Source organism: Homo sapiens, chromosome 8 (genome assembly GCF_000001405.40).
Source record: "Homo sapiens chromosome 8, GRCh38.p14 Primary Assembly".
Taxonomy (NCBI): Eukaryota; Metazoa; Chordata; class Mammalia; order Primates; family Hominidae; genus Homo; species Homo sapiens.
The window spans coordinates 91031919-91059905 of record NC_000008.11 but is presented as its reverse complement, the minus strand read 5'-3'; the positions used below and the strand labels follow the sequence as shown (position 1 = coordinate 91059905).

General features: G+C 39.1%; 1 protein-coding gene across 1 annotated transcript in view, besides 1 other annotated feature; it reads left to right on the top strand.

The window, feature by feature from the left end:
• Positions 18826-19025: a silencer, noted in NCBI's record as "silent region_19355". NCBI's record gives its function as "represses an Ori minimal core promoter by ATAC-STARR-seq in GM12878 lymphoblastoid cells {active_cell/tissue: GM12878}" and the evidence as "EXISTENCE:reporter gene assay evidence [ECO:0000049][PMID:35858748]".
• PIP4P2 (phosphatidylinositol-4,5-bisphosphate 4-phosphatase 2) overlaps positions 19047-27987 on the top strand; it is a 47058-nt gene continuing 38117 nt past the window's right edge. Inside the window, exon 1 of the mRNA NM_018710.3 lies at positions 19047-19262. Coding sequence (NP_061180.1) covers positions 19157-19262 — 106 coding nt within the window. The 5' untranslated portion in view covers positions 19047-19156. The remainder of the gene's footprint in view (positions 19263-27987) is intronic.

The window sequence follows — 27987 nt, the reverse complement described above, 5'->3', positions numbered from 1 at the left end:
GTCCTGTCTCGGATGCTTTTTGGTTTACGCTATCAAGGTTTGGAAGGCTTAAGACATGTCATTAAGGTACTTTATTTCCTTCTAGCATTTTGATTATACTGAAATTGGGTAATTAGTGGTGCCTGTTTTGAGTAACATGGTGAGTAGAATTAAGAATGGAAAGCACTGGGAAAGGGAAAACAAAAACACATCAAAGATTTCCACCTTTACTTCCTTAGTTTTTTTAAAGAAAAATTAAATGTATTATCTAATCACAAGCTACAAATTAAAATATTTGATTTACTTTTTCAGCAAAAGTTATAAATTATCGAATAGAAATTGGGAAAAGATATGTCATTTTTAACAGTGTTAAAATCTTAGTTATACTCATTTGACTAGTTAGTACAGCTCTTATTTACTTATTCTACAGACAGGTACACTCTTTTATCCTTGTATAGAAGTTACTTTAATTTTTTAGTATTTAAGTTATCCTTAAAATACAACATGAAGCTATTTTACCATATATAATTTACTTAAATATTCTTAAAATAACATTACTTTTAAATAAAATATGTATGTGAATTTAAGAATTCCTTTCTCTAACTCCAGTCCTCAAATGTGACCACTGTTAATAAATCCACTTAATATAAATATCATAATACAAACAGCAGCTGCGTGATCCTTACAAGCTGTGTTAGTTTCCTTGGCCTGCAGTAACAAAGTATCAAAATATGGGTGGCTTAAAACAATAGAAATGTATTATTTTATAATTCTGAAGGCTAAAGTTTGAAGTTAAGATGTCAAAGCCATGCTCCCTCTGAACACATCAGTTCTCTCAGATTTATTATTTCCTTTCCTTTGCTAAATTTAGGTTTTATTTGCTCCTTTGTGCCTAGTTTTTTAAAGTGGAAGCTGAGGCTGTTGACTTGAAATTTTTTTTCTTTCTAATACAGACAGTTTCATGGGATAATTTTTTATTTGAGGATTGCTTTAGAGCATTCCACAAATTTTGGTTTGTTGTGTTTTTTTTTCCAATTCAAAGTACTAATTTCTCTTTTGATTTCTTCGTTGATACATGAGTCATTTAGCATGTGCCTTTTTTGGAAAACTTTATGTTTTGATTTATTTTAGGCTCACTTAGAAGTTGCCAAAAAAATAGAGTTCCTTTATACTCTTCAACCAGCTATGCTGCCGTAAAAAAAAATAAAATAAAATTATGTCCTTTGCAACAACATGGATGCAGCTGAAAGCCATTATCCTGAGTGAATTAATATAGAAACAGAAAATTAAATACCCATGTTCTCACTTACAAATGTGAGCTTAACAATAGGTATGCTTGGATATAAAGATGGAAACAATTGACCCTTTTTGGGGACTCCAAAAAGGGGAGAAGAAGGGAGCAAGGGATAAGAGACTGTCTATTGAGTACTATGTTCACTATTTGAGTGATGGGTTCACTAGAAACCCAAACCTCAGCATTACACAATATACTCATCTAACAAACCTGCACATGTACCCCCTGAATTGAAAATTAAAACACGTGTGCATGCGCGCATGCGCACACACACGCACACAGAGGAAACTGCCCCTGATGCAATACTATTAGCCATAGACTATTTGGATTTCACCAGTTTTACAAGCATTCTTTTTGTGTGTTCTGTACAATTTTACTGCATGTATAGATTTGTGTAACCACCCCAAAATCAGGGCACAAAAATGTTCCATCACCTTGAAGAAACTCCCTTGTACTGCCTCTTTATGGTCATACCCTCATCAGAACTCCAACTTCTTCCAACCTTCTTATCATCCTTAAACTTACTTCCTCATCTATGCAGTTGTTCTGGCCCTTTTAAATGTTCTTTTATAGTTTGAATATTTTGTTAGGAGAGTCTTAGCTAGTACACTGTTTTATTATGTTAATTTTTGTGTAGTTTTTGCTTTGTGGATAATGAAAGGGATGTTTTTCTATTCTATTTTCTATCTTGTTACTGCTGCTTCACACAAATTACTGGTCTTTCTAGCTGCTTTTTTTCTTTCTTTTTGGTTGCTCTCTCTTCAATTCTTGTTTCTTTCTTTCTCAGTCTTATCTCCTTGTCAGAGGAAAAAAAATGTATTTTTCCTTTACTCATGATGAATAATTTTCTGACTTCTGTTTCCCCACCTTCTAATATCAGTGCCCAGAAAGTATAGGGCAGGCTGTTACAGGGGTTAGTTAGCACTGTCCAAATGGTCAGGAAAAACTGTACTGTGTTCTAGATCAAATCCGTACCCAAGGGCACCTAATCTAGCTGTGGAGGTACAGTGGCAAGGTTATCAGCCCATCATTAGTGGGCTAATCAAAGTGATTCCCCAAACATCGATTTCTGACAGAAATTCTATATTCCTAAAAAATCTTTAAAAGATAGTTTTGACAAAAAAAAAGAGATAGTTTTGACTAGAAAAACTGCATCAGAAAATTTACAAGTATTTGATCAGAGACCATAGCAAAGGAAAATGTGAAACATTACTATCAAGTTAAAAGGTTATTGTAAGGCAACAGTAACTAAAATTTTTATGTTTACTCTTGACAACTATTATAGTAGTGCATGAAATTATTAGAACAGTGACTATTTTCCTTTTCAAATTTTAAAACCAAAAGTAAAATTCTTTATTGTATAAAAATAGAGATTATAATGCAGACTACCAAAATACAACATATGTATAATTTACCCTAGAAAGGAAAAAAATATTAATTGTATTATATCTACTCCAATTTAATTATGAGGTTTTTTTAAAGTTGTGTCTTCAGTGAAGATAAGAATCTCATTATGTTAATGGCTCATATGAAGGGATTGGAATAAATAATTCAAATAATAGGTAAAAACCTTTGGGAGAATAGAACAAAGACATGGAAGGCAGCTAAGATAAATGACCAGCTGCAAATAGCCTTGGTGGAAAGATAAGGAGGAAGAGGAATAGTGTAGAATTGAGGAAATGATAAAAGTGAACAGCCTAATTTTCAAATTCAAGAGGAGAGCATCCTAATAGAATTGAACAAGATACATTTTTGCAGACTCTGACTAAAAACTAATTATTAAAGGATTATCATAGCTACCACCATCTGTGTATGGCTTCATACTTCTCAACATAAGCAATCTCTATATGAGAGGCAGACATGTTTTAAAAGAAAGGATTTGGGACCAGATGTTTTGGATTGGGTTTCCAATTTCAATACTTAAGGCTAGTAACATAATGAGTGTTTCAGTGTCTATCTCAGTAAAATGTATATACTAGTAGTGTCTGTTTCAAGGATTGCTTTGAGGATAAATTGGGATGATTCACAAAATGTAGTAAGCCCTCATTAAAATGTGTTAGCTAGTGTTAATATCAAAGATAACCCAATTTATTGTCAGAAACTTTTTCACTTGAGATATAAATAAAGTATGAAAATCCTTGGCTTCCCCAATTGGCTCAGCTTTGCATCTCTCCCATTTTTGACCAGGGCTAACCTGTAAACCTGTGTAAAAAAATAAGTAAGACAAAATACATTTTTTAAAAAAACAAAACAAAACAAAACAAAAAACGTATCCACCAGGGCCATGGTCAGGATATCATCTGGCCTCTGCTTAGGAATTCTGAGCTTATCAACTTGTGTCCTCCAAGCCACAGCTTTCCCCCATATTTTCCCAGTCTACATGTGCCTGGGTGTCTGCCACACCCACCCCCAGCTCTGATTTCTGCTGCTAACTCTTATGCTCTTCCTTGAATTTAAACCTACTTCACTAATACCCAACAACCTGTGGAGCCCAAGCTAACCCTTTCTCCACAGGTTAGACCTGGGCCTCTAATTATTGGCTTCTAATTCTTCATCAGCTGGTTCAGTGCTCTTCTGATTTGAATTTCAGTTCTTCCTAGATAACCTTGCCACTGTACCTCCACAGCTAGATTAGGTGCCCTTGGGTACGGATTTGATCTGGAACACACTACAGTTTTTCCTGACCATTTGGACAGTGCTAACCAACCCCTGTAACAGCCTGCCCTATACTTAAATAAATTCTACGTATTCTGCTTACTTTTGATACCCCACCTTTCCCTTTCAAACCAATTATTATTTCCTAGGATACCTCTAGCAAAACCAGTCTCAATTGTGGTATAATTGGGTATAAACCTGTGGAGATGTTTCATGAGATAAGAAATTGAGGGTTGGATATATATGGCTCAATAGTATTATCTGTCCCACTTATTTATTACACAGGTTTACTCTGAAGTGAGAATCTATATACAAAGCATCTTTTGCATTATAAATTGTATGCACATACATACGACATTTCATTTCTGGCTCACCCTTCCTCTGCCTTTCTAGTCATGCCTTTGTTTCCCTGGTATGAATATCTAATTATATTGTTCTCCCTCACTTTCTTATTTCTCTTCTTTCTTATCTTCTACCCCCCATCCCCTATGTCCCTTACATTTTACTTTTGTCATCCAATAGGTTCCCATTTCTATATGAAAGGTCAGCTCTTCTCTGAGTCCAGCTTTTACACTAGCTCTCTTCCTCTCCCTGGTGCACATGATAGGACTGAACAATCAAGGCTTAAGACCTAGTAGGTGTACGCATGTTCTCACTCATAGGTGGGAATTGAACAATAAGAACACATGGACACATGTGTGCCGCCCACCCCGGCCTTCCAAGGTGCTGGGATTACTGGCGTGAGCCATTGCGCTTGGCTTAATCTTTTAAGTTTTTTGTCTTCTATGTTGTCTGGGCTGGTCTCAAACCTCTGGCCTCAAGTGGTCCTCCCACCTTGGCCTCCCAAAGTACTGGGATTACAGGCATGAGCCCTCATGCCTGGCCTATATTTTACTTTCTTCTAAAATTTTAAAGCTTTATATTAACCAACTCATATTAACTAAGCAAAAAATTAAGAAGAGTTGAGATTTTTCTCTGAGAAAATATATGCACTGAATAGTTCATGACTAGACTAAATTTAAGAGTCATAGAAAAACCATGGAAGGGGCTTGCCTTTGTGTTATTGTGTCGATATATCCTTCTGTGGTAAGTAGAATAAAGGCCTACCAAAGATGTCCACATTCTAAACCCCAGAACCTGTGAATATGCTACCTTACATAGTGTCTTAGTTCATTTGTGCTGCTATAACAAAATATTTGTGACCGTGTTATTTACAAACAAATTTATTTCTCACAGTTTTGGATGCTGTAAAGTCCAAGATCAAGGTGCCAGCCAAATCGGTGCCCAGTGAGGGTCATTCTCTGCTTGCAAGATAGCGCCCTGTTACAGCATCCTCTGAAGGGAATGGATGCTATGTCCTTATGTGGCAGATGGAACCAAAGGGCAAAAAAGGGATGAACCCACTCTCTCTAACCCTTTTATAAGGGCCCTAATCCCATTCATGAGGACTCTGCCCCCATGACTGAGTCACCTCTGAAATACCATCACATTGGTGATTAAATTTTAGCATATGAATTTTGGGGGACACATTCAAACCACAGCATGTGGCAAAAGGGACTTTGCAGATGAGATTAAGTTAAAGATACTGAGATGAAAAGGTTTTCTTGGATTATCCATGTAAATAATCACAAGGGTCCTTATAAGTGAAATGAGAAAGCAAGAGAGTCAGAGTCAGAGATTTGAAGATGCTTCATTGTTGGCTTTGAAGATGGAGGAGGGAGTCAGCCAGGAGGTAAGGAATGCTAATGGTCTCTTGAGGCCAGAAAAAGTAAGAAAATGGATTCCCCACTAGATATCCCACAAAGGAATGCAGAATTCCTGACTGCTTGATTTTAACCCAGTGACCAAGGTTAACCATTTTGGACTTCTGACCTTCAGAATTATAAGACAAATTTGCATTGTTTTAAGACACTAAGTTTGTGGGTAAGTCGTTATGGCAGCCATCGGCAACTACTACATCTTCCTAATGTATATAATACATATATATATATATATATATATGTAATTGGTAAATTAAAATCCCCACCCATTATGCAGGCCACTGTTAGAGACAGCTGAGTAGGATCAGTTTAGCTAGTCTGACTAGTTAGTGTTGACTAATGTGGCTAGGGTGATCGGTGAGATCAGTGAGAATATGTGACAAGTGAGGCTGGTAACAAACTGTCCAGGCAAACAAGGCGGTATCCCTCAGAAAGACTGAGTGACATGAGGCATATCAAGTGTCAGATGACCAAAGAGGGAGAGCGGCCTTCAGCGTGAATGTTCAATAGGTGTGAGAGGAACCAAGTGGGAAACAACACTCTACCCACACTTTCACTAAAGGTGAAAGAACAATGAGTAGAATGGCACACATCTGAATGCCATTTAATTTAAGAGTATCATGTACTCTGGGCTTAACATGAAGCAAGAAAGAATGAGGACAGGAATTCTATCAGAAAAGAAGACAGTTTGACATTTCATGGGCTGTAAATCACAGAGAATCTAAAGAAAGATTATATACAGAGACACCACATAGACAGTAAGAATGTTTTAAACACAGCAAACATTGAAAGAGAAACTACAAACTAGGAAAAAATATTCGCCTTATTTATTACAGGTTTATAACTTTCAAAAGTTGTCTGAGACTGCAGGTGTTGGGCACTTCATACAGGGTGTTGCAGCAGGGAGAATATCCAAAGAGAGTATTTTCTGGAAAACAGGAAACAAAGAGGCTTTCTATGACAAATTAACAATGTTGCCAGTTTGTCTGCTTTGGTCAGAAGGTATTGCAATCCTTTAGACAAGAGGTATCTGTGAGAGAGAACATGAGAGTGAGAGTCAGAGTGATTTGACCTGTTTGACTCCATTACCTTCTGTTCTTGGAACTGTTCGCTTAAAGAAGGAAGTAAAAGGAGTGGGTCAGTCTCTCAGTACCAGGAAACATAGATCAGTGTCCAGTCAAAGAAGAAAGTTTTACATTTCTCCATGGAGCAAAAGGTCCACATATTTAATTAATGAAGGTAAAGAAATTCTTACAATTCTTTCTATATATTTCTTTAATAGTTAGGAAATACACCTGCTGCTGTAATTGATAAACCCTGAAATCTCAGTGACTTAACACAATAAAGTATATTTCTTACAACACTTCAAAACCGGTGTTCTTAGTGGGCAACTCTCCTATAAGTAGTGATTTAGTTTGCCAAGATCCTCCCTTCTTGTGCCATTTTCACCATGTGACTCCTGTGGGCTCCTTTGGGGTTCTTTCTTTCCACTTAGCTTTGAGTAGAAAAGAGTGTGGAGGATCATACAAGGAAGGTTTTCATGGCCTACATGGTCTACAAGTAGTCTACATCACTTCCACTGATGTTCCACTACCCAGAATTTGGACATATGACTACCCCTAAGTGCAAGAATGGCTGAGAAATGTAGCTTATCTGGGTTTCCAGGAGGAAAAGAGAATGGATTTTATAAATAAGTAAGTAAAATTTTAAATAAGAATTATAATTAAAAATATTAAATGATAAATAGATGAACTCCCTAGTGGAAAAAAAATGGCCAATACCATTGACCAATAAAAATATTAAATATTCAGAATCATTAAGGATAAAACTAAGATACAAAAACATATTTCCCTATTAAACTGTCAATATTAAAAATAATGATAATACCATGTTATTTTCCTATGCTGCTGAGAAATAGTCTCAGACGCTGTTTCAAAAAAAAATGTGTAAAAATGTTTTTTCAGGTTTCAGAGGACAATTTGACAGTATATATCTGAAAGACTTTTAAATGGGTATAGTCTTTGATCTAGGCTTCCAATTCAAAAAAATTATCAAGAATAAATAATCAGAAAAGTATTCAAAGATTTCTGTCTTTCATATTCTACATCACATCGATGAGCAAATCATGTTAGATCTAGCTTCATAATATGTCCAGAATCTGATCCCTCTTTCAACCTCCACTCCTTTGTTACCTATAATCCGATTTTCACATAGTAGTCATTGTAATCCTTTTAAAACTTATGTCAAATAAGGTCACTCTTCAAAAGCCTTTAAGAGCTCTATAGTTTTCTCATCTCAGAGGAAAAGCCCAACTGGCCCCATGTGATCTACCCCATCGCAGTCCATGACAAACTTCTCTGGTCTAATATCTACTTTCTACCCCTTCTCTCCTTGCTCCCTTTCATCGGGCTACACAGACTTCATTGCTGTTCCTACACGAACCAAGCATGCTTCCTCTTCAGGGCTTTGCTGTTGACCGTCCACATTTCTGCTTCACTGTCTGTGAAGCTGATCCTATTCCCTCCATGTAAAAAGCAATGTGCTCCCTCCACCCACCTTTCCTATTTCCTTCAATAATATTTATCTCCATCTGATATACATCCTTGGTAAATTGAATTTTGCTTATCTTCCTGTGTTGTGATGTCAGGAATTTTGTGTCCCTTAAAATAGTGCCAGGCACCTAGAAGGTGCTCAGTAAACATTTGCCAAATGAATGAATAGTAAAATATTATAAAAATTCTGAAACATTGAAAAATAGGAGACTGGTTAAATAAACTGGGATGGTTGACTTAAAGGCCATACAGTCAGACAAGATGGAATCAAAAGCATAAAATAAATGAGAATGTGATTCTGTATCTCACTGGAGGAAGTGCTGGAAATACCAATTTCCAAACAGATAATAGTTACGTTTCTTACCCAATTGGTTTCTGAAACCATCGGAAAGGGAAGTTTCTCATCCTAAAGTTACTTTTACATGTATCAACTAATTCTATGGTCTCAAATAGATTTCTCTGTGAAGTAAGTGTGTGTGTGTGTGTGTGTGTGTGTGTGTGTGTGTCCAAGGGCTAAATGGATTTTTTTTAAAGTAATCTTATTATTTGCAGATTACATTGGTCATTGGTCAGCTAGGGCTGCTACAAAATAATACCACAGACTGCATAGTTTAAAGATCAGAAATTAATTTTCCCACAGTTCTGGAGGCTCCAAGCCCAAGATCTATGTCCAGCAGGGTTTGGTTTTTGGTGACAGTTTTCTTCCCAAGTTGCTGGTGGCCTTTCCATGATGCATGCTTGTGCAGACAGCGAGCGAGTGAACAAGCTTTTTGTGTCTCTTCTTCTAAGAACATTCATTCTACCAGATTAGGGCCCTATTCTTATAACCTCATTAACCTTAATTACCTCCTAAATGTCCTGTCTCCAAATATAGTCACATTGCAGATTAGGCTTTAACGTGTGAATGGCAAGGGGAGGGGCACACAATTCAGTCTCAGGTATATTTACCCTGTTTATTAAAAAAGCAAACAGTCACTAAACCTATTTTGCATCACCTCAACTAATATTGCTTTTTCCTAGGCTTTCTTTTTAAGATTTATCCAAAGATCCTGAGAATATACTGAGTTAAACTAATAACCTTTTGGAATACTATTCTAGTTGAGATCATTAATTTGGAAACACTAGCAAAGCGATTAAGTGATAAGAATAATACATCAAAACCAAATTTTGTTAGTAGGAAAAATACACTGTTCAAAGGTTAAATAAATGTTTTAATGAAGAAAAAGAACTCACTTTTTAAAAACTGTTTTGTTGGGCACGGTGGCTCACGCCTGTAATCCCAGCACTTTGGGAGGCCGAGGCAGGCAGATCACGAAGTCAGGAGATCGAGACCACCCTGGCTAACATGGTGAAACCCCTTCTCTACTAAAAATAAAAAAAATTAGCCGGGCGTAGTGGCATGAGTCTGTAGTCCCAGCTACTCAGGAGTTAAGGAAGAGTTTTTTGTTTTTTCTTTTGAGACGGAGTCTCGCTTTGTAGCCCAGGCTGGAGTGCAGTGGCATGATCTTGGCTAACTGCAAGCTCCGCTTCCCAGGTTCACTCCATTCTCCTGCCTCAGCCTCTCAAGTAGCTGGGACTACAGGCGCCTGTCAGCACGCCCGGCTAATTTTTTGTATTTTTAGTGGAGACAGGGTTTCACCGTGTTAGCCAGGATGGTCTCGATCTCTTGACCTTGTGATCCACCCGCCTCAGCCTCCCAAAGTGCTGGGATTACAGGCGTGAGCCACCGCGCCCAGCCCTGGAGGCAGAGTTTGCAGTGAGCCGAGATCTCGCCATTGCACTCCAGTCTGGGTGACAGAGCGAAACTCTGTCTCAAACAAAACAAAACAAAACAAAAAACTGTTTTAACCCTAAGACACACACATACACACACACACACACACACATTTTTCAGAGAAACTTGTTTGAGACAGTGAAATGTACCTGACAGTGCTCCTTCAAGGCAGCAATGATAATGCTTAATTACACACCAAGCTAGCTGTGTAGGGTCTGGAAACATCAAAAAGTATTTTTGACCAAAATAATTTGTTACAATGGTGATAAGTGGTCACATTTTCAATGTATGTTGGTAATCTTCCCAACTTCTTCTTACACTTGTGTTTATCTCCATGGTAGGAAGGAATGGTTTGTCTCAATATTGTCCCAACTTGTAACCCCAGCATTTAGCACCAAATACTTATGTTAGTTAAAAATGTTTAAATCAAGGGGAACATGAATTTAAGGTAACAGTCATCTCTCTCTCTCTCTTTTTCCCTCTCTCTGCAGGTTATTAAATAAGCCGAACTTGTAGAAGTATAAATCAGAAATGTTTATAGTTTTCTCCAAATACTGCCACTAACAAGACCATTTTAAATTCCCCTTACCTCCTGTAGCAGATATCTTATCACATTATCACATCTTGGAAAAATTCTATAATTTCCCAGTGCATTTCAGTGATTAAAAACCCACTTTGTTGGCCAGGTGAAGTGGCTCACACCTGTAATCCCAGCCCTTTGGGAGGCTAAGGCAGGTGGATTGCTTAGGAGTTCCAGACCAGCCTGGGCAACGTGGTGAGACCCCCATCTCTACTAAAAATACAAAAATAGTTAGCCAGGTGTGGTGTCACACAGGCTGTAGTCCCAGCTATTCAGGAGCTGAGGTGGGTAGATCACTTGAACCCAGGGGTAGGGTGGGGGAGGTTGCAGTGAGCTGAGATCATGCCACTGCACTGCAACCTGTGTGACAGAGTGAGACCCTGCTGAAAACAAAAGCAAAACAAAACAAACACTTTGTCTAAAAATCAAATTTCCTGTGCAAATGGAAGATTTTCTCTTTGTGGCTAACTTCTAGCATTGTGGCTTGAGGGACCTAACACAGGGAAGGAGGATATGATTTTCTTTTTATTTCTTTCCTATTACCTACATTGGGGACAATATATTTTGCCTCTGGTTCTCAGCTTCTTCTTCCCTCTTGGATATTCTAGCTTCTCCAGTGAGCGGACACAAGGATGAATCAGAAAGATTCATTGGGCCATTAGTGAAGTCTTCTTTCCTGTGTTTGACATTAATTGCTGGGCCAATAATGACTGTCCATTGGCAATGCCCTCTCAATGGCAGGCACTCAAATACTGGATTTATAGAGGAGACACAAAGGTGAGTTATTTCAAAGCCTTCCCAATCCACAGCGTCCTGCTTCACCTCATCTAACCCTCCAAGGCCCTTGCATTTACTGGTATACTCCATGGGCTCTTGTTGCTGGTTATTTCACCCAAGAGTTAGCTTTTTTTGTTGGTGTCAGCATGATGGCATAAGTGCAGCTATTTTTTGTGGTGCTCACTTTGCCTACCGGAAACTTATATGCTCTCATCAAAGCAGAAGTGATAGCTGAGCTGAACCACCGGCCTCTGTGTGCCCTGCCATCATTCTCGAGTTGTTTTTTTTTCTATTCACATAGACTTTCAGAAGATTGACTAGCCTATGTCCTAACCTAATGTATAACTAGAAAATTAGGTGCTGATTTTCCTTTTTTTCAGACACCCCCAGACTTTGCCAGTGACTCCCTTAGAGTCTGTCTCACTTGGCTTTTTGGGGAGGGGCAGGAGCAAGCCATAGCAGTGCCTCCCAAGCCAAAAGTCATGACTCCAATAATTCCCGTTTACCTCCTTCCTATTCTCCTGTTTATATGGACTGAGGTAATTGTGGTTATTGAGGGGCTAGTTCTGCTGATTTAGTATATGGGGTTCCATCCTCATTTTTGGATCCTAGCTATGTTTTGTATAACAGGGAAAGTTTCATACAACTTCAAGTTACATGTCCTCTATTGAACTTTGCATTTCACTCTTTTGTATTCCATTCTTTTCTTTTTTGGAATTGTTTGCAGAGCTTTTATTTTATTTTACTCTTATTAGCATCCTGTGAGATGCAGGACAGCTACTTCAATTTTGCTGATGAAACTGAGACAATAAGAGGCAACCTAGGACTAATTACTTGAAAAAAAAAAAAACCTTTACTGAGCACCACATATGTGTGTGGTGCTGTGCTAGATGCTACAAAGAAACAAGTAGTCTCTGCTCATGTATATGTGTCAAATAGAATAAAGCTATTTTAAAATGCTGTTATCATGGTAAAAAAAAAAGTCATGCAACTATAGTAGGGGAGAACATAATTTCAACTCTGGCATTTGAATGGGTATTTAAAGGATTGGCAAGAACACAAACGGTTGGAACTCAGGACCACAAAGTCCGTAGGTTTGACCTCTTAAGTTTTCTTGCAACATCAACACTAACAGAACTCCCATGATGCCTCTTACTGAAGAACTGCTCACCTGGGAGGAAACCATGTGGTCTTGCCTTTTCCTCGAAGTGTTTGGAAATAATACAGGGAAACAGGATCTCTTCTAGTTCTATTCCACACCTATACCTTAACTTTCACTAGGCTTCTCTACTGCTGCTCTGGGCTGTTGACTGGCTCTAGCCCTTTGTCTTCCTCCCTGGACTCTTCTGTGACTACAGTTAAGCCTTCAACCTTCCTCTATTATTCCTGCAAAATGTTGTGCCCTTTTAAATTCCTGAATATGGCCTTATTCTCTCAGGATTATTACTCTGTCTGCTGGAAAATATACTTCTCATATTGACTTTAGAATTTCATATTAAACTTCCTTCCAAAAGCATAGTGTTCCGTACAGATCTCTCCTCTGTCATTCTCTATGTTTTTCTTAAATGACATGTTTGTAGCTGGACTAGATCACTATATAAGGCCCCCAAGGAATCACACCTTTCTGCATCCGTGCCCTTTTGCATGTGACATAGCCACATCTTCCATCAAGAGACTGAATTTATCCCCCTGACTGCTTCAATATACTCTGTCCATGTCACTTTCTCTGACCAATAGAATGTGGCAGATGCAGCCATGTGTGTTCCAAAACCTTGGACTTATGAGGGCTTGCAGCAACTGCCTTTGGCCTCCAAGGACCCTACCCCGAGACTGTCATGCAATGAAGAAACTCACAATGAAACTGCATTTGGAAAGAGAGTTTCAGCCAACCAGATTTCTTGGCTGAGATCAGTCCCCAGCTGATCCACCAGCTGAATGCATTGGCCTAAGTGGGTGCAGGTGAGACTTGGCAGAAAACTACCTGATTAACCCTAATGATTATTAAAAAAAAAATACAGTACATTGACAATTGATCCACTAAGTTTTAGGATGGTGGATTCTTATAAAGCAATAGATAAATAAAACAGAATATTGTACTAAAAATAGAAAGCAACAGATAAATCCACTAGAAGTTGGCACTGAAAGTACAAAGCAATAGATAAATGTAGCAAATTGATATTGCTGTAACAAAACCCCAAGTATATGGCATTGTCTTAAGGGCCAGGCACAGAACAATACTAAGGAGGAGTATGTGAAACTAGAAGAGTAGGGAGGAAATTGCTATTGGAGACTAGAAAAACAGAGGTGCACCAATTAACTGTTGCCTGTAGTAACTTAGAAAATAGAAAATGTTCCTAATGAACTTGTTGATTTCACTAATTTCCATGTAGAAAATTAAAAGCGACAACTAGCTTCTTTTAGCTGTGTTAAATAAGGTATTTTAAGAGAAAGTTTTCATTTTCTGTTGATGCCATAAAAATTACCACAAATTTTGCAGCTTAATACAAATTTTATATTTTATAGTTCTGCAAGTCAGAAGTTTATCATGGCTCTTATAGTGCTAAAATCGAGGTGTCAGCAGGGCTATGTCCCTTTCTAGAAGTTCTAGGGGAAGATCTATATCTTTGCTCTTTTGGGTTGTTTGCAGAATCCATTTCCTTGTGGTCTAGGACTAACATTTGTACGTCCTTGCTGCTGTTAGCTGAAAGTCTTTCCCACCTTCTTGAGCACACCCATACTCCTTGATCTCTTCCTCCATCCTCAGGCCAGCAATGGTAGGCTGAGTCCTTTTCTCACTTTAAATCTCTCCTGTGAATATCTCTGACTACAGCTGAGAAAGGTTCTCAGCTTTTAAAGACTCATAATTAGGTTTGGCTCACAAGGATCATCCAGGATAATCTTCCCATCTGAAGGTCTGCACCCTGTAATCATATCTGCAACATCCGTTTTGCTAAGTAAGGTAAAATATTCACTGGTTCCGGGAATAAGAGCATGGACATCTTTGGAGAGGCATTATTTTGCCAACCACAGAAATGAACTAAAGTAGGAACTTCCAGTTTGCAACTGAATTTAGAGGAAATATAGGGGGCTTAAGACAGTCTTTCATCCAGCAACAGATTCTTGATGTAAGAAATGGCCTCAGAATAAAGTTCAAATCAGGGATATGGCTGTAAAACCCTCCCTGAAGACCTCTGAAAGACTCAAGCAGTGACTTGGAGACTTCCTTAAATAGACAAGGGAGCATCTAAGAATTTGAAGGGCCTCAAATGTGACCCAAACATAGAGAAATACCTGTCTCAAAAAAAATATTATGTTTGTGGCTTTGTGGGCATGAGGTAAACCCCATTCAGATTCATTGGAAAGGCCTACACATTTCTAAGGAAGTTGTATCAATTTGGATTAAAAGGGACAGAGGCAGTTCAAAATGGAAAGAGCCCTCTGGGTTCCCAACTTTCTTTGCGGGGAGGCAGGCTGAGAAAGGTATGCAGCTGCAAACAGGAGCCATTTCTTATGAAAAAGACCAGACTTAGTGGGAAGGGCCAAGAGCCAAATATAGGAACAGATGAGGAAAAGGAGTAGCAACAGAGGCAGACTGTGCCCTAATAAGGAAGCATTACATGCCTCTGGGGTCAAAAGAGCTGGTGACATGGGCCCAAGTGGATTTCAGAATTCTGTGGTCCCGTGTGTTCTATGTACCTTCTATTCAGAATGCCCCCTCCCCCTTCTTCTGTCAGTTGTTATCCTGTTCTTGTTCCACTGTTAAATGTTGGGGGTTGAGACGGCTGGGAGAGAAGAAGGGCACATGCTTCGTCCTTTTAGTTCACAGGTCTCTGGATCAACAGATGCTGTACCCAAGGAGCTGGACCTGTGGAATTATCCCCCAGGAATTTTGACTGCACCTGGATTGGATTTAGGTGAAAGATACATAAAGTTGACTTTAGTGATTAAACTAGACTTTGGGGTGTTGGGAGTGGATAAGTGTAGTTTGCCTGTGAGGGGGATGTGAACCACAGTGACCAGTGGGCAGACTATGGTAGACTGTTATATAATAGCATCCAGTGGATCATGCCTTGTTGTGTTCCACACCCCTTTGCATTGTGACATTGCTACTCTTCACTTGAAGTGATGGAATCTGTTCCTCCACCAGCCTTGTGACTTCCTTTGATCATGACGAGGCCTCTAGGTGCTTGTTTTTTTCCAAGCAGGAGGCAGGCTGAGAAAGCCATTGATGGTGGGAGAATGTGATAAGAAGCGATGTTTGAGAACCAGAGCCTAGATCTTAGGGATCCCTTACCTTCCACCATCATCCTCTTAGAATAGTGTTCTGAGAATACGAGGTATATGAGGAAGTCTGGAATAAAGACTACATGAAGAGAATTGCCCAGTGAGCCCAAATTTCCCAGCTGAGCCTAGCCCCCAGCAAACCTGCCAGCTGAATGCTGCTGCCTGAATGTTCAGGCAAGTCTGACAGAATGGCCACCCAGTCAACTACAGAATCATAGAAAATAACAACTCATGTTGTTTTAAGCCACTGAGTATTGGTATGGTTTGTTAGCAGTAGATCGCTGAAACAACAGCTTAAGTACATTAGATCTCACATATTATCTGTTTATAGAGTATTTTTATTCCAATAGACACATTAGCTCATCTCATGAATAGAGATGGCAAAGTATCATAATCATAATCATAAAAATACCTTGGATTGATGAGTATTATTTAACAACTATTGAGAAACCATAAACCATAGTATGATCTTTAACCTAGAATGAAGTAGTACTCATCTCATAAAAGCCTTTTGCTTTTTGTGGAAGTTGAGATTGCTGCAAATATAATCTCAGTATATCTACTACCTTTTGTAGTGTAAGAAGAGTAACTGTCATGAGCCTCAAATGAGTTCTGCAGTAGAGAAACCATATAATGAAGTAAAGAAAAAAACAAACAACAACAAAAAAAAAACCTTTATACTGATCACTACATGGGCAAAAAAGAAGACAGTTGTAGAGGTATGATGGAATAAAAAAATTGATCAGTCAGATGGCAAAACTGTCATCTTCATCAAAATGCCAAGAAATGTTCTTAATCTTTTTGTGCCAAACATTTTGTTTTAGTAAGATTCTGGGACTGTGTATATTTGTTCATTCACTCAATTGTTTATTTGACAAATATCGAGTGTTTACTAATGTGCCAAGCATTGTGCTAGATACTGGAGATCTAGTTATAAATAAGATAGATAGGTTTCTGACCTCAGAAATTTGGTTGGGGCTGGAGTTGTCACAATGGAGTGTGACAGGTAACACGACAGAATACTATAGTAGTAAGATTTTGTTGATTTTTCTCATAATTTTCTTTAACTCAATAGTCTCCAGGCTGCAGTTATAAAAACACTGCTGTTCATTTTTGTAAATTACAGGCACTTTTGCAGGAAGTGCTACATCTTGATTCTGTACTTTCCAGGTTCCTGGAGACCTAGAAATGCCCTTATATCATATAGGGATCCTTATATTGTATTGTATCCTGATGCTACTGATCCACAAAAGATGCTGCGTGAGTGCAAACATCATTATTTGATTTCCCCTTAGGATTTCCAGCTGATGCCTAAGTGGATTTTTCTGGAAGAAAGAATGTATCTTTAGAAAGCAGAGTGAGGATCCTTCCTAATGTAATTTGAAACATAGTTTCGTATGTCTAACTTCTGCTTTGCCTCATGCTCACTGAAATCTACAGCTAGCCTCATTTTCCACTTGTTTTTGACTCTCTCAGGCATCTTGAGGATTGAGATCATGTCGTAGTTATCTTTTAGACTTAGTAAATGAGTAATAAATGTTTCTTTTGAGTGACTCAAAAATTATTGCAGAAAAATTATCATCCTAGATCATTACTATTTTTCTATTGCATTTTTATTTAGACATGTTCAAAACTTTATTTATTTTTTTTTTTTTGAGACGGAGTTTCACTCTTGTTGCCCAGGCTGGAGTGCAACGGCACGATCTCAGCTCACCTCTACCTCTGCCTCCCGGATTCAAGTGATTCTCCTGCCTCGGCCTCCCGAGTAGCTGGGATTACAGGCATGCGCCAGCACGCCTCGCTAATTTTGTATTTTTAGTAGAGATGGGGTTTCTCCATGTTGGTTAGGCTGATCTCGAACTCCTGACCTCAGGTGATCTGCCTGCCTTGGACTCCCAAAGTGCTGGGATTACAGGCGTGAGCCACCACGCCTGGCCTCAAAACTTTAATTTGTTTTCATATTCATGTAAACTACTTTTGGATAATATGACAAACCACCAAATAAAAAAGAAAAGAAAAACATATAAAACATGGCAAGAACTGTGTTTTTAAAGAAAAAAGTTATTCAGTGATTCTTGTCAAAGCATGGTAAGGAAGACTGTATTTAGGGCTATAGTGATAGGTATAGGGACCATGGCAGCAGGGTCTTGCCATGTTGAAGAAGAGATTAGGCTCAATTCTGAATGCAGCATGGACAAGTGGGAATTTATAGCCTAGGAGCATGCAGGACAGGGGCAGTAGATGGAAAATTACCAAGGAAATATCAGGGATAAGGGGGATTCTGACTAAACCAAGCAAACGGGATTCTTGCTGAAGACAGAACAGGAGTTCAGGCCTCACATGGGGGATGCTGGAGGATGAGGAACCTGATCAAATATCAATATTGAGAATGGGGCTTCTTGCTAAATTAAGTTAGTAGGGTTCTTTGCTAAAACTGGATTTTATAAGGAAGTGCAGATGGGCCCAGCATAAGATTCAGAAACCTTACTTGTTTGACCAAGCAAAGAATCTTTGTCAGTGCTTAGGGTTTTTTGTGTTTTAACTCTGTTTTACAAGTAAACGATTATTTTAAAACTTTTGTCTCAAGAAACTTGTTTTTCGTTGTTTGACGTTATTCATAAACCTACTTACTGTATATGTGTCAGGGACAATAGGCTACAAAACCAAAACTAAGATGACAACCTATTTTGTAAAATGAAACTTGTAAAAGGCAACACACTGCATAGTTCCAAAAAGGTACTGTTACCAGAGTTCCAAACCGGTCAGGCCAACATTCCTGTTGTTAAAAAAAATCAATCAGGAAAAGTAGGGAATGCTGACACTTCCGCAAAGATCTACTTTCTCTTAGATAACAGATGTTGAAAACTGATTTCCCACAAAAAAACCCTAGAGGAATTGATAACCCCAGGAAGATGTTTTCTTTATATAACTGCTGCAAAGTTTGACAGCAAAGAGTCAGTCCCTCCTCCTCCTTAGGGGAGATAAACTTGATAATCTGCTTTTGCTCCAGTTTTCTTGTAATCAAGTCACAGGCCTTTCCTCTTCGCTAGCCCCTTTCAGGCTGCTTTTTATCCGTCTTTCCTAGAGCAAAGGACTTGTCCCCCTCCATCCCATTTACTCTCGACCCCCTTTCAGTTACTTGGCATCTTCTTTTCCTCGCGTTTCCCAGTTGGTCCTAATTTGTTCCCCTTTTCTCTGGCTGGCTGGGCTCCCGCTCCTCCACTGCTGCTCCTCCCACTCTGCGGGTTCTTTCTTTCTCCCTCCCCTCCCCTCCCCCAGCCATGCCTCCCAGCGCGCTTCCCTTCCCCCGCCTCCTGGTCCTGCACCCTCCCCTCCCCTCCCCCCGCTTCCTGCCTTGTGACACATCCCGGGCCCTCCCGGAGGCGGCAGCAGCAGCAGCTGCAGCGGCAGCAGCGGCAGCAGAGGCAGCAGCAGTAGCCACCACTCCGCCGAGGCCGCAACCCCGGCTCGGCCTCCCCAGGCCCCGCCGCTGCCGCAGTCATGGCTGCTGATGGGGTGGACGAACGCTCGCCTCTGCTGTCAGCATCCCACTCCGGAAATGTCACTCCCACCGCCCCACCGTACTTGCAAGAAAGCAGCCCCAGAGGTAAGGCCAGCGTAGATCCCTCTACTTTGCAAGGAAGTAGATTTGCAAGGAAACGCCCAGAAGGATAAAGACCTGGGAGCTCTAGCTTGGAGGTGGAGGTGAGCCTCTCGCTTGGGCTGAGGAAGGATGCTGACTGTGCCTTCCCAGGCAAGCCCGCCTGCCTGATAGCTTCTCCGCAGGGTTTTTCTGGTGGTGGTGGTGATGGTGGTGGTGGTGGTGGTGGTGATGGTGGTGGTGGTGGTGGTGGTGATGGTGTGTGTGTGTATTTCACCACTTCTTACCCAGGGCTACAGTATGTGACATGAATTTCCCAAGCTCTGCTTAGCTGTTTTCAGAACAGCCCCTAAGCGCAGCTAGGAGGTGGTGCAAATCTTTCACAATCATTCACAAATCTTTTTCCGTTGCTGAGAAACCAGGAGTATTGCTCACCTTGGCATCTGTCCTTGAAAGGGCTTTAGCTTGAACAATATGCTTCTGCTACCATTCACCCAACAGTGCTCTGTTCACTCAGTGAATTGCCATATCCAAAATGAATACAGTTAATCAATATTCCTAATATGTCTGAAATTCCTGCCCCTCCTTTTTACTCCTACTTTCAAGGAGTATGTGTTAGATTTAATTGTGAATGAGAAGGAAGGACCTTACTTCTCATAGAAGGGAAGATGGGATATTTTTAACACATATCTGGGTGAGATTGAAATTAACTTGTAAAAAGTAACCCAAATTAATAATACATATATTTCTATTTTTTTCTCAAGAAGAATAAAAAAAGATTAAATGCAATGGGATCTGGAGAAATATGGAATCTATTTACCATACTATTCGATTTATTTAAAAATCGATCGTTGTTCTAAGCCTTTTAGTTGATTACTATAGTAAATAAATAAGGTGGAGTCAGGCGTTACAAGAAAATGGAAGGCAAGACTTAAAAAAACCCACTTAGGTTAGTGAAAAGATTGGTCAAAATGGCACTTGCAAATGTTCCTTAAGTGCATCTCTCTCTTTTTTTGGCTAAATATGAGCAAAGTTTAAAAACCCAAGGAAGCAAAAGTTAATGATTTTGAAAATATAAGTAGGTAATGTTTCTTGTAATACAAGTTTTTAAGTTCAAGTCTGGAATTAGAGCTGATGTAGAGCAGGTTGAACTTGCTTAGTATTTAAAATTTCTATTTAACATTTTGTAACTTCAAAATAAACTATCTAGATCTTAATCCATACTTAACAAGAAGAAAAACAAAGGAAAAAGATGCTTAGCTGTAAATAATTCAGTGTGAGCCATGGCTTGAGAAATAAGGCACAGAGAGAGACTTGCCCACAGAAAACCTACAGGTCATTTTTGTTGGTCAGCATTAAACTTGTATCAGAGGACACCAGGCAAGAGAATTTCCTCTAATGGGCCAATTTGATATGAATATTTTACTGTTATCTAAATCGTATTATGTAGAATAGACTTAAACACTCACTAATGAATGTTTCAACTTCATCAAGTCAGCCTTTTATGGCAAAATGTTTGGCGGTTTATTAGGAGACAAAGTTTCAATTTAAGTATTTGTCCTATAACCTATTTTCATGCCCTCAACTAGTGGATAAGTTATTTTTTAAAAATGGCTACACTCAGGGATCAGCTTATAGACATCTTTATTATTTTCCATATATTTGTTTAACCTAATAAGATTCCTCAAACTACACAAGTATAAGTTCCAGTTCAGCCACTGAGAAAAAGTAGTGTCATTGTAGAAAACTTTTAACAACCAGAGAAATTCAATGACTTAGCAAAAAGCTGCTTCTGCCTTATGGTAGAATACATTTTTTCTTAATTGGTGAATGAGACAGGTTAGATGATTAGAGAAACTCTTAATTTCATATGACATAACACCTACTAAGGAAGAAGCATAAATGAGAGGTAAAAGCATTTTATTTGCATTTTGACAGAATATTTTTCTTCATAAGTAACAAACATTGTAATAAATATTATGAGTAATACACAAGATCTGGAAGACCACCACTATTCATTCATTTATTAATTTATTGGGAAGCACAATGTGCCATACACTGCTCTAGGGGAACAAGAGTGATCAATCCCATACCCTCATGAAGACTATATTGTATTAGGGAGAAAGAATAAATAAATACATGGCTGAATTATTTCAGATTGTAAAAAAAATTCTATCACTAGATCAGATGTTTTTGGTAGTTGAAAACCGTTAGGGTTGACAGTTGGAATTCAATCAGAAACAGAATGCACTTTCTGATAATGAATTTTAGTTAATGATCCCATTTACAATTATTCAGACTTTTATTTTTTTAAAAAAAGAAGTTAAAAGCTATAACTAGTGAATATTTTCTCCAATCTGACCCCTTTCTCTTTCTTTTACCTTCTAAAGTACAGGAATGTTAGTTCCCACCTCCAAGATGAAATAGTCCATTTCAGGTTGAAAGTCGGTGGAGTGTTTATTTCTAGACAGATTATTAATAATGTAGCAGGGAGCAGTTAGTATTGTGTGTTTGGTTTTAGCACAAGAAAAATCATGTGTGGTCTGTGTAACAATCCATGTTGGTTTCTAAGTGGAGCATGTCTAGTGTTCTCTACTGTCAGTATTGGATTCATGCATAGGAAATTGCTTCTCTCCTGCTTGCAGTGCTTCGTTTAATATACTTGCCAGTTTTTGTTTAGGTATAGAAATTAAAATTAAAGAGAGTTTTAGGCTCATCTGAAAGGAGATTGGAAGAAATACCACAAAATTTACACAGTTTTGATGTATTAATTGATTCCTTTATACATCTGCTAATTTTGTAGTTAGGATATAACAAAAGAATATGACCTTTGAATTTATAAGATTTTTTCTGTGAAAATTGTTTATATCTGGGGTTGTCTCATTATGTATTCAATATGGAAATGGGATTATATACTTCACTATAATTCATAAAGGGAAAATAATAATTTGTTATACAGAGGCAGACAGTTTGATTTACTTAGTTTATTATTCAGCAAATAAATATTTGAGTACCAGCCAAATCTGTGGTAGGAGAAGAAAAATAGTCATGGCTCCTCTTCCAGTGTAGTGGGGGTATTGAGAAATAAATTATGTAATCACACAAACAGATGCAAAATGCAATGGTGATGAAGACAGTGCTGGAAATATATGCAATACCTTGAGAGTATAAATTAAGATTTAATTTTGTTGAGGGAGTCGGGGAAGGCTTTCTTGATGCTTGAATGAGATCTGAAAGTTGAGCAAGAGTTAACTTGGCAAAAGGTGGACTGGAAGACCATTATAGGCAAAGAAAGCAGTATTGGCAAAGTGATCAGCAGGGTGGAGTATGACAAATACAAGGAACTTAAGGAAGGCCAACGTGGCTAAAATGGAAACAGCAGTAGGAAATGCACTGCAAAATGGGACTGGAGAGATAGGTATGGTGGATATTCTCCGAAGACTCTCTTTCCCCTTCAAAGAACTATGTCTTCTGATATTCAGTTTCCTCCCCTTGAATCTGGGCTGATGCCATGACTTGATTTTGACCTCTAGAATAAGGTAGAAAATATGCTGAATGACTTTGGAGGGTAGGTCAGAAGAGGTTTTACAGCTTTTATCTTGGTCTTTTGTAAAGTACACTCTGGGGAAAGTAACTTGTCATGTAAGAAGTGGAACACTCTGAGACTGCCATGCTTTATGGAACCTGAAACTAGCCTGGTAGAGAGAAAGATGCCTGACCAGCCCTCAGACATGTGAAGGGAGATGCCATCTTGGATGCCAAGCTCAATTGAGCCTTCACATGACTCCAGCCTTAGCCAAATTCTTACTACAACCACATGTGGCCAACTTGTTCTGCAGCAACAGATGACCAGAATAATGAATATGAATCAGCCCATCCAGGATATTGTTGGTCATGTTAAGGAATATTGCCATAAGCAAAGGGATGACTGGATTAAATCTTTATTATTAGTTTTTAAACCACTCTATAGATTAGAGAATGAATTAGAGGATTGGCTAGAGTAGACAAGAATAGATGACTTCCTTGATTATTGTAATAATTCGGGCAATTTAACTGAACTATTTCAGTAGCTTGGACTCAGGTGGTGGTAGAGATGGAGAGATGAAGGATGATGTTAAGGAGGTGGATTGAACAGGGCTTGATGATGGATTGCACATGGAAGTGAGGGAGAAGTGTCAAGGGTATCTCCTAGAATTCTGGCTATGCAACGTCATGGTGTGATTACCAGAACACCAGAAGACGGAGAACACCAGAAGAGGACCGAGTTTTGGGGAACACGGATAATGAACTTAGTTTTAGACATGATGTATTTCAGATGCTTTCAAATATCCAAGAAGAGATGTGACAATTGGATCTACAGATCCCATTTCTGGCAAAATGGGACCTGTAGTGTAGATCCGGTTGTCATATCTCTTCTTAGTCCTCGTTTCTTAGGACTAAGAAACGGGGCCTGGGCTGAATATATAAAATTGTGTGTTATTTGCATATTGGTGATAGCTAAATACATGGATGTTGATTCAGAACTTCCCAGGGCCCTACCATAAGATGTGCTGTGATGGAACATACATGTGCTAAGGTAGTGATTAAAGCCTTCAGGCCAGAGGCCTCCAGTTTTTTTGGTTTTGTTTTTTTTTTCTTGAGACAGGTTCTTACTCTGTTGCTCAGGCCGGAGTGCAGTGGTATACTCATAGCTCACTGCAGTCTTGACCTCTCAGGCCCAACTAATCCTCCCACCTCAGTCTCCTGAGTAGCCACCACACTCGTCTAATTTTGTTGTATTTTTTATAGAGATGAGGTTTCACCAGCTTGCCCAGGCTGGTGTCAAACTCCTGGGCTCAAGCAATTTGCCTGCCTTGGCCTCCCAAAGTGCCAGGATTACAGGCATGAGCCACCACACCAGGCCCAGCGACCTCCAGTTCTAAGATGTCATACACATATTGTCATTTTCTCTGTGTACCACAGTGTGAAAAACTTTGAGGCGCTCCATATGAGATAACCTAGGGAGAAAGAGTAATCTAAGAAAAGGAGAAAGCCTGGACAAAGCTTTGAAAAACCTTCACATTTAATGACTAGGGAGAGGAAGGTGAATGTAGCTGCCGGCAAGGTGACAAAAACCAGGAGATGATAATATCACAGAGTCAAGAGCAAGAAAATACTTCAAGAAAGGAGTCTTCATGCAAAAGTTTAAGAAAGAGCAAAGATGGTAAGGACCAAAAATGTCTTTTGAAGTTAGTGTCATGGAGATCATTAGGGACTTTAGTGACAGTTGTTTATATTTGTTTATATTCAAGCTCTTTTTAAAGAATTGAAGAATTATCTATTTCCATCTAATGTAATATTCCAATGTACCTTTATTTTAATTGTAAACTGACCTCAAAGCAGCTTAACATAAATGAAAAGGTTAATATTCCTTTACTCTGAAGCTCATTTAGGTTTTCTATGAAGCGTAATTGTCATAATTGTGTTTTAGAAGACATTGCCATATCCTTTTCACCTTTAAAAAACATGTAATCTTGAAATTGCTTGAGAAAATGTTTTCAGTGAGTAGAAAAATAAAATAAATTGACTCCTGGTTTTGAGACATATCATTTAATATGTACTCTTATGCTTTCTTAGAAATCCTACAGTAAATAGGTTTATTTTTAGTGACTCTCATGTCCTATACCTGGAGAAATCTAAGGTTAGAGATAGTGTCTTAGTTTAAAGTTAGGTAAGGTCTTAGTTCATTTTTAACTATGTTCTACACTAGGCTAGACTTTTACTGAATTAAAGAGATTGAATACATTTTGGCAGTCTTTTAAATTGCTGAGTCTCCCTGCGTACTTGCAGAGTATAAGGTTGTCTGTGGATTGGCAGGAAGAGATGACACAGATCCAGGGACTCTTACCACATGCACAACCCATTGTAAGACTAGATTAAATTCTCACTTTACTTGCCAAGGATTCGGAAACCCACTGGAAGCCAGATTGTCACAATGAGGAGAAAAGGATGCAGGATATTTGAGAGCAGCTTCCTGAAGCTCCCCCAAGCCCCAGTAGAGTGTTCACCTGCTGTGATACTGAGCAAGCAGGGCCTTGGCAAATATGAGAAGCCTATTGTGCTATGCTAATGCTAATGCTCCATTTAAGGGAATTTTTTTCAAAATGGTTCTTGAATCAAAATTTGCTTCACTGAGGCCACATCCTCTTCAAGGAAAAATAGAGCCCACACATTGGTGAAATAGATCGGCTTCTAGCTTTCCAGTATGGTGGTGAGCTCATTTGCTGTTGTAGTCTTTTTGTCATTATTCTGTAGGCATCAGGCTCCAGGATTCTTATATTCTGTTTTATAATGCCCACATTTCCTTCTGTCTATACTGAGCATCTTTAAAATATTAAGAAATGTTTCATTCAGTCATCCTTTCAAATATTTGAATGCCTATTACAGTATTCCAGATGCTGGAGAGCTTACATTCCTGTGAGAGATACATACAGTAAGCGTTATAATTTCAGAGGGTGAAGAAAATAAAGCAACCTGTGAGGGTGGAGAGTAACTGTTTGGATGGCAAATGTTTGAGATGAGCGTCCAGGAAAGACAACTCAGAGATAGCAATCACCGAGAGACCTGAAACATGAGTTGGATCAGCCTTTGGAAGATTTACTGAAAGAGTGCTCCAGGCAACGGGAACAGCAAGTATAACACTTGCTATTTTAAAAACAAGGAGGAGGCTGGGCACTGCGGCTCATGCCTGTAGTCCCAGCTACTCATGAGCCTGATGCTGGAGGATCTCTTGAGCCCAGGAGCTTGAGGCTGCAGTGAGCTGCGATTGTGCCATTGTACTCCAGCCTGCGCAACAGAGTGAGACTCTGTCTCAAAAATAAATAAATAAATAAACAAAAACAAGGGACAGTGGGTTAGAGCATGGTGACTTAGAGGACAGCAGAAGAGGTAGAGGAGGTGCGAGGTGTAAATGAGGGAAGCCCAGGGGAGATTTCTATTCCACCTGCTGAAGAAGGGATTATGTCCTGAGGATAATGAGAAGCTATGGAGAGGTTGGAGCAAAGGAGAGACATGAAAACACTTTACTTTTTAAAAAAATCACCCTTGGTTGGCATGTGGAGGAGAACAGACTAATGAGACATGACACTAATCAGGATGCTGTTAGAGCAGAAGAGGCAACAGGGGACCAGGGTACAGGTGACAGAAGCACTGAGGTGTGGTTGGTGTCAGGATGTATTTTAAACAGGACTTGCTGATGGGTTGAGTCAGTGAAAAGAAAGGAATCACAAATCTCCAAAAATGACCCAACTAAGTAGGTACAAGGTTATATCTGAGATAGGCAAACAGGAGGAAGAGTTGGCCATGTGTTTGGGAGGTGGGAGAAGAACAGTGGAAGTCACTATTCTGTTTCAGTCATGTGGAGTTTGCAATACCTTTAGTTATTCAATTAGAAATGTGAATTAGGCAGTTTGTTGTACAAATCTGAGGTCTGAGAAAACTTGGGGTTGGAGAGCAAATTTCATTCAACAATTATTTATTAAATGTACAGTAGCATTTTCCTGGAGAGGGAGACGATGCTCTCAATTTCCTGTTTGTTTCCAAGGACTATGCAGACTCTTCAAGAATGTAAAACTTGTAGGGTAGAGCATTCTGTTAAAATTTTGGAAGGTTTGCCAAATGCATACAAATGTTAGCTAGATGGATATAGATATTGGAGAAGAAAGTTAACAGGAGGGATGTTCATAACTATCTTTGAGGGCAATAAACAGCTATCTGGGAAGTGATCTAAATGGAAACTGTAATACTTCCATTTGGGAAAAGCAGGTAACCCTGAATACACCTTGTGCTCAGGTGTTTTGTGTTTCTTTCTTTTTTTTTTTTTTTTTTTTTGAGACAGACTCTCACTCTGTTGCCCAGGCTGGAGTGCAGTGGCATGATCTCGGCTCACTGCAACCCCTACCTCCTAGGTTCAAGCAATTCTCCTTCCTCAGCCTCCCAAGTAGATGAGACTGCAGGTGCCTGCCACCACACTTGACTAATTTTTGTATTTTTAGGAGAGGTGGGGTTTCACCATGTTGGCCAGGCTGGTCTCGAGCTCCTGACCTCAAATGATCCACCCACCTTGGCCTCCCAAAGTGCTTGGATTACAGGCATGAGCCACCGCGCCTGGCCTGTGCTTCATTTTTAATGAGTAAGAGGTATTCAATAAATTGGGAATGGCATTCCATAGTAGCTCCTGAAAAGGAATACATTCTTCCTGCTGTTTCTGTTATTTTATGAGGGTTTCTATGCTTTTTTAGAAAAATTTTTGGTGGTAATGGGGGTGTGCAAAGGAGTTTATGTTGCTTTTGAACTTTTCTAGATTTTTTCTTTTCCAGTTGCTGTTGTAAAGTGAGTTCCTTTTCTTCTGTAAAAACCACAACAACCAAATGTGAAAAAAGCAAAAAGCATGGTTCCTTTTTCTGGACTTCAGGTGCATTGTGCAAGTATTGTGTAACTAACTCCCTTTAGAGTCCAGAGAAGGTCTGCCACCAGGTAGTGTTTGGCTTGGGAGACCTGAGGCTTTTTATCTCCGCCAGTTACTACCTGTTTGGCCTTGGAATCGTTACTTTACATCTCAGGGCCTCAGTTTCCCACATTTATCCAAGGAGTGGTGCATTATGTTTCCTTTGGCTTTTATATTTTATGACACAGTTGTTCTTAGGAAGCTGGACACACTTAGGAAAATATATCTATAAATTTACCTTTGGCT